We start from the raw sequence: 14,902 nt of genomic DNA, 5'->3' as shown, positions 1-14,902 counted from the left end.
CTGGCCAACATGGCAAAACCCCGTCTCTACTAAAAAATGCAAAAATTAGCCAAGTGTGTGGTGGGCGCCTGTAATCCCAGCTGTTCAGGAGGCTGAGGCAGGGAGAATTGCTTGAACCCAGGAGGCAGAGGTTGCAGTGAGCCAAGGTCATGCCACTGCACTCCAGCCTGGGCAACAGAGCAAGACCGTGTCTCAAAAAAAAAAAAAAAACAAAAAAAAAAAACAGAAACAAAACAAAAAAAAAATTTAGGCTTATACCCTAATCAAGGCTCAACCTACCAAAAATTGCCATAGTAGTAGACTATTTGAGTTTAGGAAACTTGCCCCTCTCATATACACTCCCAATTTTGGTGCCAAATGGTAGGGCAACTGGGCACTGAAAACAGAAGGGAATAAAACCTGTTTTCTAGAAAGGATGATACATAGCAAGATTTTCCTCCATCAAATAAATTTTGAGCAATAGTACATTACATGATGGATGTATTTGGAAGGGCAAAGGTAGCCTTGATACTAGCCTTGAGGCTGACTTTTTTATTTTTATATCTTTACTTTTTTTTTTTTTTTATTGAGACAAGGTCTTGCTCTGTCACTCAGGTTGGAGTGCAGTGGTGTGAACACAGCTCACTGCAGCCTTAACCTCCCCGGCTGCACCTCAAGTGATCATCCCACCTCAGCCACCCGAGTAGCTATAGTCACGCCTGTAGTAGTGCACCACCATGCCCGGCTAAATTTTCAAAAATTTTTTGCAGAAAAGAGATCTCACTTTGTTGCCCAGGCTTTCAATATTAAATATACACCACACTGAAAATATTCTCTTCTGTCCCTTAAGAAAGAAGATTTTTCTCAGAGATAGTTTGCATTATTTGGTACACATTTGTTCAAATGACTGCATTTCAACAGGTTTACATCCATCTGCTCATAATTTGGAAGATATAATTTAGATTTGGATGTCCTTATGATGGCCTTTTAGATGCACTCAAAGACCCTGGGTCTATGAAGACTTTAGAAATACTCAAAAACACATTCAAAGAGAAAGTTTTCTAATGATAGTGTGTATAGAAGCCATTAAAAATGTAGCTTTCTGTCCCCCACACTGTGTTCTGATTTACTACTTCTGGGGTAGAAACCCTGAGAATCTCTGTTGTTTTCTCTTCCGTTGTGATAAAATACACAAATTTGCATCTTTTTTTTTCTTTTTTTGAGACAGGGTCTCATTCTGTCTTCCAGGCCAGAGTGCAGTGGCTTGATCACAGTTCATTGCAGCCTCAACCTCCCAGGCTCAAGTGATCTTCCCACCTTCGCCTCCCAAGTAGCTGAGACTACAGTCATGTACCACCATGCCTGCCTATTTTTTTCTAGTTTTTTTAACCTTCTTTTGTAGAGACGGGTTCTTGCTCCGTTGCCTAGGCTGGTCTTGAACTCCTAGGCTCAAGAGATCTTCCCCCTTGGCCTCCCAAAGTGCATGAGCCACTGTGCCTGGTCTGCATATTTTTTTTTTTTTGAGACCGGGTCTGGTTCTGTTGCCCAGGCTAGAGTGCAGTGGTGTGATCTTGGCTCACTACCACACCTCTGCCTCCCAGGCTCAAGCCATCCTCCCACCTCAGCCTCCCGAGTAAAATTAGCCTGACTAATTTTTGTATTTTTTATAGAGACAGGGTCTCACTTTGTTGCCCCTGCTGGTCTTGAACTCCTGAGCTCAAGCAATTATATGAGGGGTAATCGCCTTGGCCTCCCAAAGTGCTGGGATTATAGGCATGAGCCACAGCGCCTGGCCCCTGCATCATTTTTTTTTTCCCCTGAGATGGAGTCTTGCTCTGTTGCCCAGGCTGTAGTGCAATGGCACGATCTCAGCTCCCTGTAACCTCCATCTCCCAGGTTTAAGTGATTCTCCTGCCTCAGCCTCCCGAGTAGCTGGGATTACAGGTGTGTACCACCACGCCCAGCTAATTTTTGTATTTTTGGTAGAGATGGAGTTTCACGTGTTGGCCAGGCTGGTCTCAAACCCACCCACCTTGGCCTCCCAAAGTGCTGGAATTACAGGTGTGAGCCACCACGCCCGGCCCTGCCCCCACCCCCCGCATCATTTTTAACATACACTGCAGATGATTACAATACAGAATTTCAAAGAAGCACATTTTGAGGGATATTCTTCTTAACACCTCATAAAGTTTCCTTTTACCTAATAAGGATTTTTTTCACAGAATGTAAATCCCAAGACAGGAGAGATTTTTATCTTTTCTCGTCACTGCTATATCCTTAGTAGTTATTAGTTCAGAATCTGGTTCATAATTGGCTCGCAATAATTTTTGTGAATGCCTGAATAAATAAAGTATTTATTTTAGATACAGTAAGTTTCAATTTAAAAAATTTCAAATATACAATTTTCTGTATACTATATATTTATTTGATATAATGGTATATCCTAAGTTTTCTTCAGAAAGAAGCATAAAATCTTTAGTGTTAATTTCTGTACATGTTTACTTGTACATGTATATTTAAATCATAGAAGACTGAAGAATAAATTAGTCTTAATAATGAATTACCCCTCATATAATTTCGAATACAAGACTTTAAAAGTTTTCTTATTTGTTTGAATCTATGGGTGCTATGGAAGAATTAGAATAAATCATATTCACCATAGGTATTTTGCACAAGTATTCCAGTTATCCGTGGTCCACCCCCTTTTACCTTTGTATAAGTCATAAATGAATAATGACCCTTCTCATGGGGTACATTAAAGGTCTGTTTTACTCTTTTGTTTTATACAAGCTTCAATTAATTACAAACTAATAGATATGATGACCAATATTTACAACATAATGTCTACAGTAAAGTTCTGTGACATTTTGAGCTGGTAAACTAATAAATAAACTATGACAATTGTAATTTTATTGAGGCCCCCAGAATTTGGCTTAGATCAATTATTTTCTCTTTTACAAATGGAGTTTCTGCTTTTCACCTTACAAAATAGATATAGCTTTATTTTTCTTTTGAGCTAACATGTAAAGTCTGAAAAATTACTACTGAATATTTAAAGCTACAAAAATTTTAAAAAATTTCAGATATTGATTTATTTATTTGAGACAGGGTCTCCCTCTGTCACCCAGGCGGGAGTATGCGGCAGGATAATAGCTTGCTGCAGCCTTGAATGCCTGGGCTCAAGCAGTCCTCCCAGTGATGCCTCCCAAGTAGCTAGGACTACAGGCATGCACCACCACACCCAGCTAACTTTTTAAAAAACATTTTGTAGAGACAGGATCTCTCTATGTTGGCCAGGCTGGTCTTGAACTCCTGAGCCCAAGCAATCCTCCTACCTTGGCATCCCAGAGTGCAGGGATGACGAGTGTGAACCACCGTGCCTGGCCCATAGGTATTTGACTTCCCTTAAAAAAAAAAAAGAGACCAGGCACATGGCTCACATCTGTAATTCTGGCACTTTGGGAGGGTGAAGTGGGCGGATCACTTAAGCCAGAAGCTTTAGGTCAGCCTGGCCAACATAGCAAAACCCCATATCTACTAAAAATTCAAAAATTAGCTGGGCGTGGTGGTGCACACCCATAATCCAAGCAATTCGGGAGGATGAGGCACAAGAATCGCTTGAACCCAGGAGGTGGAGGTGGCAGTGAGCTGAGATCATGCCACTGCACTTTCGCCTGGGCAACAGAGAAAGATCCTGTGTCAAAAAAAAAATAGAAGAAGAAGAAGAATTTGAGTTACTGTTAATAAATTGTCCAACAGTCAATATCCAGTCAAGAATAACCATAGTTCTACAGTGAGCCGTGATCACACCATTGTACTCTAGCCTAGGCAAAGAGCAAGACCCTATTTCAAAAACAAACATGCAAACAAACAAAAAACAGAATAACTATAGTTGAGAGCCATAGCCACACACTCAGAGCTGAGTACTTGGCTTCCAGAACATGATTCTGAGGATTTCTTTTATCTTGCTGGTTGTTATTTCTTGGTCTCCTTTCCTTTGACATCTCCTCTTCTCCCTGCCTATTAATGTTGAAGTGTCCCAGGGCTCAGTCTTTTGTCCTCTATTCACTCCCTCAGTGATCTTATTCAGTCTTGTGGTTTTTAAAACCGACTGGATATGGTGGCCCATGACTCTAATCCCAACACTTTGGAGTCTGAGGCAGGAGGATCACTTGAGGCTGGAAGTTTGCGATCAGCCTGAGCGACAGTATGACCCTGTCTCTACAAAAAATAAAAAATTAGCCATCCAGCCTGGGGAACATGTCAAAACCCATCTCTACTAAAAATAAAAAGTTTGCTGAGCATGGTTGCACACACCTGTAGTCCCAGCTACTTGGGAGGCTGAGGTGAGAGGATTGCCTGAGCCCAGGAGATAGAGGCTGCAATGAGCCATGATCGTGCCACTGCACTCCAGCCTGGGTGACACAATGAGACCCAGTCTCAACCAATCAATCAAAATATTTGAACACTCCCAAAATTATATCTGTACTCTAAACCTTTCTTTGAACTTCACCCTCATTATCCTACTGCCAACTCCACTACATCTCCACTTGGATGGCCAGTAGGCATCCCAAACTTAACATGGTCCCACACTGAACTACTTATTTTTCCCTTCTAGGTCTGCTCCACGGGAAACTTTCTCCAGCTCAGTTAAAGGCAGCTTCCACTCTAGTAGTTCAGGCAAAAAAACTTGGAGTTATTCTTGACTCCTCTCTTTCTCTCATACCCTCCACCCAGTTCATGAGGAATCTGACCATGTCCCACAACGTGTATTCCTACCACCCTGGCCTGAGTAACAGTCACCTCTTACCCAGATTACTGCAGTACCTTCCTAATTGGTCTTCTTGCTTTTTTTCCTTGTTATGCCACCCTTTTTAGTTTCCTAACAAAGCAGCAAGAGTAGTCCTTAAAACATAAGTCACGGAGACCATCCTGGGCCACATGGGGAAGCCCCATCTCTACAAGAAAGACAAAAATTAGCTGGGCATGTTGGTGTACGCCTGTAGTTCAGGCTGCCTGGGAGACCGAGGTAGGAGGGTCACTTGAGCCCTGTAGGTGGAGGCTGGAGTCAGCCATCATTGCCAGCCTGGGCAAGAGAGTGAGAACTTGTCTCAAAAAAGCAAAACAAAACAAAAAAAATTAAGTCTGATTATTATTCTTTTTGGTTCAAAACCCAGCAAAGACTGCCTAACTACCCTTCCCTCATTCCATTCCAGCCACATTAGCTTCCTTATCTGTTAACACCTCAGGCACACATTGCTACCTTTAAGGCCTCCAGACATCTGTTCACTCTGCCTTAAATTTTCTTTCTTCCAATAACCATGGCTAACTCATATTCTTCAAATCCTGGTTCAAATGTCACCTTATCAATGAGGACTTCCTTAAGAATCCTGTGTAAATATTGCAACCATGATCCCACCTCCCACAGCTACCCCTCAGCACTCCAGATACTCCGTATCCTGGTCTTCTTCTCTTTTCCACGTTTCTTATCCCTTTCAATACATATACTGACTTAAAAAAATTATCATATCTATTTTTTACTGTCTGTCCTCTCCCTCTCCCAATATAATCTCCATGTGGTCAAGACTCATGACGTATCCCAAGCACCTAGAACAGTGCCTGGCATACAGTAGGCATGCAGTGAATCTTTGATGCAATAAGGAATGAAAAGCAGATGATTTTCCCTTTGCTACCAGGATTTCTTACATTGCAGAATTGTCCCACAAGTTCCATTTTGAGTTTTTTTTTTCTTTCTTTCTTGAAAGAGGAGAGGTCTATACAAGTCTAATTTTGCTTAAAAATAGGAGAAAGAGATCCTCCTTGGGTCCCCACATTATACATTGTTGTGTTGTTGAGTACCTTCTCTCAGATCTTTGGCCAGAGAGCACATTGGCATAAATTTACATGACCAGGTCTACAGTCTAACGTCCTCAGAGTTTCTTTCTTATGTTTGGTAAAATCTCTGTATCAGGATCAGCTTTCCAGCTTTTCATGTGGTCTAGCTTTCACTCATATATATATGGTGTTTTCATTGTCTTTCCTGTTGTAATTTCCTCCTGGGTGAGGAAACACCCTTTCACCTGTTGGCTGGTGTTTGATGTGGGCATGCTTAGACTCAGGCCTTCCAACTCCTGTGACTTTCAAAGGCCTTTTGAGTTTGGAGAGGGTGTGTCAGTTGGACTGCCCCCTAAAGTCGTGTGACCTATCCTTTCTGCCTCTCATTATTCCTTTAAGTTAGGGGTTGATAGTTAGATTCTGTCAAATCTATATTTACTTCCCATACAAATATCCTGCTTTCTTTGCAAGAGAAGTTAAACATCAGATCTGGTGTCTTTTTTCACTCTGGTGTGATTCAATACTCTGTTTAGCAGACATTTTAAAATGTGGAGCATTTGGTTGACATCCTCTTTATTGATGCAGATTTTTTCCCCTTTGTTTATTAAGTTCATTTGGCCTTTTCACTTGTAGTTTGGCAGGGGCCAGTTATAAATTGGTGCTTGAAAATCCTGAGGTATATACTTCCAATAATTCCTGGTAGGCATGTGTTCAAAAGTTTTCCATCTCTTCTGCACTTAGGAATAAGCTCTCTAAGTGATTTCAGTATGCAGGTAGATTGGGGGCTGCTGGAATAGATGATCAGTGAGACTTACATGAGGGTTTAGAGGAAAGGTGAAATCTTGCAGTGGTAATAACTACACCTCAGAACCCTTAAGCAGCATCCTTAATGCATCACCATTTAGCTGTTTTTTTTTTTTCCTGGAAATTCTTTTTGTTTTTTTGTGTTTTTTTTCCACCAAAGCCTAAAGGCATTACCCAAAATATCAAGATACTGCAGATACCTGGTTATCTTCACTGCTTGTGAGGTGTTTCAAATTAGATTTTTGTTCCTTGTAATTTTTCAGTGTTTCAAGGGAACCATTTTTTTCTAGGATTCACCATCTATTACTATAATTTCATGAGTTCCTTATATGGAGTCTAATCATTTATGCATTCAAAACATATTTATTGAGGTCTTATAATGTGCCAGATACCAGAGGTGGATTCAGGTTCTGTGGAGCCTGAAACTTACTACAAATTTGTGGGCCATCTTTGAAAAAAGAAGAAAGGTTGGTCTGATGGGAGTGGATTATCAGAATTTATTAACATTAATGTTACTAAAATTGGTTTATAGCCCCCCACTGCTAAATTTGACTGGCTTTTAAAAAACAGAAAAACAAAAATAAGGAAGGGAAGGGAGAAAAAAAAAGAGGGGAAGGGGGGGAGGGGCAAGAGAGGACTATGAAAACAATGACAATGACAGTGGTAGCAGTTTTGATAAAAGTACAAATTCAAAATTAGGTACAGACTTCTGCTTCTAGGAAGATGTAATAGAAATACATTTCCCCATTCCTTCTACTAAGTACAACTAAAAACCCTAGTTACTATCTATAAAACAAACATACCTGGACTCTGAAGGATGGAGAAGAGAAGACAGACCGAGGCACAGCCTCAAGACCCAAGACAGGCCTTGGGACCCGAGAATGACGTGGTGATAAGTTTTCTTTTACCTTATATATCCAGACAAAGCTGAAGAAGCCAGCAACCTGAAAACACCAATGGGCACAGACAGAAGAACCTGCTCGCTCCAGCCAGAGACGTATGAGGACTTGTAGGTAAGAGGATTGTTTCTAGTCCTGGCTCTGCCATTAACAAATGGTAACTTGGTAGATAACTGTTTCTCCAGCTCTCCGTGGTCAGCCAGCATTATGATTGAAAGTTGGGAAAGGAAAGGAGTTGTGTTTTAAGCAAATTTTAAGAGTTTACTTTTTTATTGCTTAATATAGAAATAACTGCATATTGTAGAACATTTGAAATGAAAGAAATGTATAATGAAAAATTTCAGAGCCGGCCCGGTGGCTCACGCCTCTAATGCCAGCACTTTGGAAGGCCGAGGCAGGCAGATCATGAGGTCAAGAGATCGAGATCAGACTGGCCAACATGGTGAAACCCTGTCTCTACTAAAAATACAAAAATTAGCTGGGTGTGGTGGTGGGTGCCTGTGATCCCAGCTACTGAAGAGGCTGAGGCAGGGGAATCACTTGAACCTGAGAGGCGGAGGTTGCAGTGAGCCGTGATTGTGCCACTGCACTCCAGCCTAGTGACAGAGCAAGATTCCATCTCAAAAAAAAAGAAAAGAAAAAAGAAAAATTTCACTATTTAGAATATTTAGAAATAAGCATTATTAACATTTAAGGCATTAAAAAATTCTTTTAAATGATGTGTTATGCAATTGAGGTCATACTGGATATAAAATTTTGCATTTACATTTTTTGCTTAATGCTAGAACATATTACAAACTTTTTAATAAAACATTTTTATAGGCTAGGCATTCTTTTATCACATAAATATACTGAAATTCACTTAACCATTTAAATAAATATATATATATTTTTTCAAAGTAATTCATATTAGCATTTTTGTGGTATTTAAATACCTGTTACTTTTAGTTTACATTTCTTTGGGTCATTGACCAAAATATTTGACAAGGCCTTTGGAAATATAAAGGGTCATTTGGATGTGTGAAATTGGGCATTCTTCCTATGTTTTTAGCTAAGGTCTGTAACTAACGATCTGTAGTGGTGGGATTTTAATAAATGGCATAAATAATTAAGACAGCCTAATAGAAGTAAATTAAGTAAATATTAAAAAGAAACTTATAAATTAGGACTTGGACAATTTTGGATTGGAACTGCAATTTTGCTTCCTTTGTAAATCTTGTTTTCTGGTGTGTGTGTGTGTGTGTGTGTGTGTGTGTGTTATGAGACTGTAAGTGAAGCCTCCATGTAGTGTAATTCCTCATAATTAAATAAACATTTATTGGGAAGCACTTTCAGAATGACAGAGTAAGGACTTCCAAAAACTTATTTCTCCATAAAAGCAATAAGATCACTGGCAGACATTCTCTAGTTTTTCAGAACTCTAGAAAAAACCAAAGACATTTAACAATCTGAGGAGTGCTTATTGAAGAAAAATGGTGAAATCTCAGACAGTGAGATTTGTAGTGTTTAACTTGCCCTATGTCAATTCCCCCCTCCCCAGCTCCATGGTAGTCTTGAAACCCAGCAATCTTGAAACCACAGTATCTGTGAAAAGCAGCAGCCTAGCAGCCGTGGCCTGAAATGGTTATATCAGTTGGGGCAAACAAGAAGCTGGCTAAAAAAAAACTTAAAAGGAAAATCTAGCAAGTGAGATGTCCATAGGGGCTTTGAAAAATTCTGTGGGGCTGGTGGCCAAGATGGTGTATTAGAAGCAGCTGCGGTCCGCAGCACTCATGGAGAGGAATGAAAGGGGCAAGTAAATACAGCACCTTCAACTGAAATATTCAGGTACTCTCATTGAGACTGGTCAGGGGAACAACTCAGGCAGGGTGGGGCAACGGCCCACCTGGGAGTGACACAAAGCCAAGGGAACCCTCACCCTTAGCTGAGGGAAGTGGTGAGTGATTGTGTGGCCCTGGGAAACCGTGCTTCTCCCACGGATCTTTGCAACCTGTGGATCAGGAGATCCCCTCGTGAGCCCACACCACCAGGGCCTTGGGTCTGATACACAGAGCTGTGTGGCGTCTCAGCAGAGCAGCCACTCAGGCACATGCAGAGACCCAGGAGTTTTATATACTCTGGCCCCAGGATCCCTGGCAAGGTGGGAGGCCTGTACATATCCCTAGGAAGGGAGCTGAATCCATGGAGCCAAGCAATGTAGTTCTGCGGGCCCCACTTCCACAACACCTTACAAGATAAGACCCACTGACTTGAATTGCAGCCAGCCACTGGCAATAGGGTAGAGCCTGCTGGAGATGGAATAGAGCCCTCAGCGGGAGGGGCAGCCACCATCTCTGCTGTTTGGTTGACTCAACCATTCCAGCCTGCGGGCTTTGGAGAGTCCAAACAGTCCGGACAAGCTCAGCTCAGCACAGCTGCTTTGTCAGATTGTGACCAGACTGCTTCTTTAAGCCGGACTCCAGTCCATTTCTCTTCACTGGGTGAGACTTCCCAGTAAGGCCCTCCAACCAGCCCCATGCATTTTCTATGGACAGAGATCTGATCTGTCCCTGGGACAGAATGCCTGTGGGAGGAGAGGGCCACCACCTGAGTTGCCTGGACGACTCAGCCATTCCAGCCTGCGGGCTTTGGAGAGTCCAAGATGATGGAGCAGAGGCAGTTCCCAGCACAACAAGGCTATCTTATTGAAGTATGGCCAGAATGCTTCTTTAAGTGGGACCCTGATCCACTCCTCCTTATGGGCAGGTCCTCCCAGCGAGGGCCTCCAGCCACCTCTGCCCATGTTCTACTGCCAACCAAGCTTAATTTCTCCCTGGGACAGAGTCCCTGGGGAGCAGGGCAGGCTGCCACCTTGGCTGTTTAGGGTTATCAGACAGTCCAGCCTATGGGCCCAAATCAATTGGGGACCAAAGGGATCCGCAACACAGCACAGTTGCTCTACCAAAAAGCAGCTAGACTGCTTCTTTAAGAGGGCCCCTTATCCCATTTCTCCTAACTGGGTGAGACCTCCAATTGGGGTCTCCAGCCACCTCCTATAGGTGCCTTCAGGCTGGCAACAGGTCAGTACCCCCTGGGACGAAGCTTCCAGAGGAAGGGGTAGGCTGCCATCTTTGCTGTTTCGCAGTCTTCACTGGTGATGTCTCCAGGTACAGGAAAAACTGAGGCAACTAAGGTCTGGGGCAGACCCCCAGCAAACCACAGCAGCCCTATGGAAGAGTGGCCAGACTGTTAAAAGAGAAAACAACAACAACAATGACAATACCCACAAAAACCCCACGCAAAGGTCAGCAACCTCAAAGATTGAAGGTAGATAAGTCCACAAAGATTAGAAAGAATCAATGCAAATACTCTGAAAATTCAAAAAGACAGAGTGTCCCTTTTCCTCCAAATGACCACAACACCTCTCCAGCAAGGGCTAAGAACTAGGCTGAGGCTGAGATGACTGAAATGACAAAAGGAGGCTTCAGAATGTGGATAAAAATGAACTTCACTGAGCTGAAGGAGCATGTTGTAACCCAATGCCAGGAAGCTAAGACTCATGATAAAACAATGCAGAAGCTGACAGCCAAAATAGCCAGTTTAAAGAGAAACATAACTGACCCAACAGAGCTGAAAAAAACACTACAAGAACTTCACAGTGCAATCACAAGTATTAATAGCAGAATAGACCAAGCAGAGGAAAGAATCTGAGAGCTTGAAGACTATCTTTCTGAAATAAGACAGGCAGACAAGAATAGAGAAAAAAGAACGAAAAGGGATGAACAAAACCTCCAAGAAATATGGGATTATGTAAAGAGATCGAATCTATGATGGATTGGGGTACTTGAAAGAGACAGGAAGAATGGAACCAATTTGGAAAACATACTTCAGGATATCATCCAGGAGAACTTCCCCAACCTAGCAAGACAAACCAACATTCAAATCCAGGAAATGCAGAGAACCCCAGTAAGATAAGATACTCCACAAGAAGATCATCCTCAAGACATATAATCATCAGATTCTCCAAGATCTAAATGAAAGAAAAACTGTTAAGGGCAGCCAGAGAGAAAGGCCAGGTTACCTACAAAGGGAATCCTATCAAACTAACAGCAGACCTCTCAGTGAAAAGAGATTAGGGGCCAATATCCAACATTCTTAAAGAAAAGAATTTCCAACCCAGAATATCATATCTGGCCAAACTAAGCTTCATAGGCAAGGGAGAAAATGGGCTAAATGCCCCAATCAAAAGACAGAGAGTGGTTAGCTGGGCATGGTGGTGCGCACCTATAGTCCCAGCTACTCAGGAGGCTGCAGCAGGGGAATCACTTGAACCCAGCAGGCAGAGGTTGCAGTGAGCTGAGATCATGCCACTGCACTCCAGCCTGGGTGACAGAGCGAGACTCCGGACACAGAGTGGCAAGCTAGATAAAGAACCAAGACCCGGCCGGGTGCGGTGGCTCACCCCTGTAATCCCAGCACTTTGGGACACCGAGGCGGGTGATCGAGACCATCCTGGCTAACACGGTGAAACCCCGTCTCTACTAAAAATACAAAAAAAATTATCTGGGTGTGGTAGCAGGCACCTGTAGTCCCAGCTACTTGGGAGGCTGAGGCAGGAGAATGGCGTGAACCCAGGAGGCGGAGCTTGCAGTGAGCCGAGATTGTGCCATTGCACTCCAGCATGGGCGACAGAGAAAAAAAAAAAAAAAAAGAACCAAGACCCATCAGTATGCTGTCTTCAAGACACGACACCCATCTCACATGCAAAGACATATATAGGGATGGAGGAAAATGGAAAACAGAAAAAAGCGGATTGCAATCCTAGTTTCTGACAAAACAGACTCTAAACCAACAAAGATCAAAAAAGAAAAGACAGAAGGGCATTACATAATGGAAAAGGGTTCAGTTCAACAAAAGAGTAACTATCCTAAATATATATGCACTTGATATAGGAGCACCCAGATTCATAAAGCAAGTTCTTAGAAACCTTCAAAGATTAGACTCATACACAATAATAGAGGGAGACTTTAACAAAGCTGCCTGACTATATTAAACAGATCATCAAGACAGAAAATTAACAGAGATATTCAGGACCTGGATCAAGTTGACCTGATAAATATCCACAGAACTCCCCACCCAAAAACAACAGAATATACATTCTTCTTATTGGTACACGGCACTTACTATAAAATTGATCACATAATTGGAAGCAAAACAACCCTGAGCAAATGCAAAATAACTGAAATCATAACAATCTCTCAGGACCAATGGTCAATCAGATTAGAACTCATGATTAAGAAATTCACTCAAAACCACACAAGTACATGGATATTGAACAACCTGCTCCTGAATGACTTTTGGATAAATAATGAAATTAAGGCAGAAATTAAGAAGTTCTTTGAAACTAATGAGAACAAAGAAACAATGTACCAGAATCTCTGGGACACAGCTAAAGCAGTGTTAAGAGGAAAATATATAGCACTAAATGCCCACATTGAAAAGCTAGAAAGATCTCAAGTGAACAACATAACATCACAACTAAAAGAACTAGAGGACCAAGAGCAAACAAACCCCAGAGCTAGCAGAAGACAAGAAATAACGAAGATGAGAGCTGAGCTGAAGGAGATAGAGACATGAAAAACCCTTTGAATAATAAAAAAATCCAGGAGCTGTTTTTCTGAAGAAAGTAATAAAATAGATAGACCGCTAGCTAGACTAATAAAGAAGAAAAGAGAGGGCCAGGCGCAGTGGCTCACACCTGTAATCCCAGCACTTTGGGAAGCCAAGGTGGGCAGATCACGAGGTCAAGAGATCGAGACCATTCTGGCCAACATGGTGAAACCCCGTCTCTACTAAAAGTACAAAAATGAGCTCAGCGTGGTGGTGCTCACCTGTAGTCCCAGCTACTCGGGAGGCTAAGGCAGGAGAATTGCTTGAACCCGAGAGGCGGAGGTTGCAGTGAGCCAAGATCGTGCCACTGCGCCACTGCACTCCAGTCTGGTGACAGAGCAAGACTCCATCTCAAAAAAAAAGAAGATTCAAATAAACACAATCAGAAATGATAAGGGGAATATCATCACTGACCCCACATAAATATAAACAACCATCAGAGAACACTATAAACACCTCTATGCACATAAGCTAGGAAATCTAGAAGAAATGGTTAAATTCCTAGACACATACACCCTCCCAAGACTGAACCACAAAGAAATTGAATCACCAAATAGACCAATAACGAGTTCTGAAATTGAGGCAGTAATAAATAATCTACCAATCAAAAAAGCCCAGGACCAGATGGATTCACAGCTGAATTCTACCAGAGGCATAAAGAAGAGCTGGTACTGTTTCTACTGAAACTATTCCAAAAAATTGAAAAGGAGGGACCCCTCCCTAACTCATTCTATGGGACCAGCATCATCCTGATCCCAAAACCTGGCAGAGATGCAACAAAAAAAGAAAACTCCAGGCCAATATCCTTGATGAACATTGAAGCAGAAATTCTCAGCAAAATACTGGCAAACTGAATCCAGCAGCACATCAAAAAGCTTATCCACCATGATCAAGTGGGCTTCATCCCCAGGATGCAAGGTTGGTTTAACATACGCAAATCAATAAATGTCATTCATCACATAAGCAGAACTAAAGACAAAAACCACATGATTATCTTAATAAATGCAGAAAAGGCCTTTGATAAAATTCAACATCCCTTCTTGTTAAAAACTCTCAATAAACTTGGTATTGAAGGAACATGACTCAAAATAGTAAAACCCATATATGACAAACCCACAGCCAATATTATACTGAATGGGCAAAAGCTGGAAGCATTCCCCTTGAAAACTGGTACAAGACAAGGATGCCCTCTCTCACCACTCCCTTCAACATAGTGTTGGAAGTTCTGGCCAGAGCAATCAGGCAAGAGAAAGAAGTAAAGGATATTCAAGTAGGAAGAGAGGAAGTCAAACTAATTTGTTTGCAGATGATGTGATCCTATGTCTAGAAAACCCCATCATCTCATCCCAAAATCTTCTTAAGCTGATAAGCAAGTAAAGCAGAGTCTTGGGATACAAAATCAATGTGCAAAATTGCTAGCATTCCTATACAGTAACAACAGGCAAGCCAAAAGCCAAATCACAGATGAACTCCCATTCACAATTGTCACAAAAAGAAAAAAAATACCTAGGAATACAGCTAACAAGAGAAGTGAAGGACCTCTTCAAGGAGAGCTACAAACCACTGCTCAAATAAATCAGAGATGACATAAACAAGTGGAAAAACGTTCCACACTCATGGATAAGAAGAATCAATAACATGAATATAGCCATACTGCTGAAAGCAATTTATAGATTCAATGCTATTCCCATTAAACTACCATTAACATTCTTCACAGAATAAGAAAACAACTATTT

General features: G+C 41.8%; 1 long non-coding RNA gene across 2 annotated transcripts in view, besides 1 other annotated feature; it reads left to right on the top strand.

The window, feature by feature from the left end:
- Window positions 1-14,902, top strand: part of LOC105376615 (uncharacterized) — a 59,453-nt gene that overhangs the window by 4,361 nt on the left and 40,190 nt on the right. For both annotated transcript variants that reach the window (XR_931167.2, XR_931168.2), the window contains exon 2: window positions 7,540-7,631. This is a non-coding gene — a long non-coding RNA (uncharacterized LOC105376615). The remainder of the gene's footprint in view (window positions 1-7,539; window positions 7,632-14,902) is intronic.
- Window positions 9,528-10,029: an enhancer, noted in NCBI's record as "H3K27ac hESC enhancer chr11:33022947-33023448 (GRCh37/hg19 assembly coordinates)". NCBI's record gives its function as "activates a minimal SCP1, AML or CMV promoter by ChIP-STARR-seq in naive H9 embryonic stem cells {active_cell/tissue: H9 hESC(naive)}" and the evidence as "EXISTENCE:reporter gene assay evidence [ECO:0000049][PMID:30033119]".

Source organism: Homo sapiens, chromosome 11, assembly GCF_000001405.40.
Source record: "Homo sapiens chromosome 11, GRCh38.p14 Primary Assembly".
NCBI lineage: Eukaryota > Metazoa > Chordata > Mammalia > Primates > Hominidae > Homo > Homo sapiens.
Note: the sequence above shows the minus strand (reverse complement) of the source record. Positions and strands in the feature narration are given on the sequence as shown.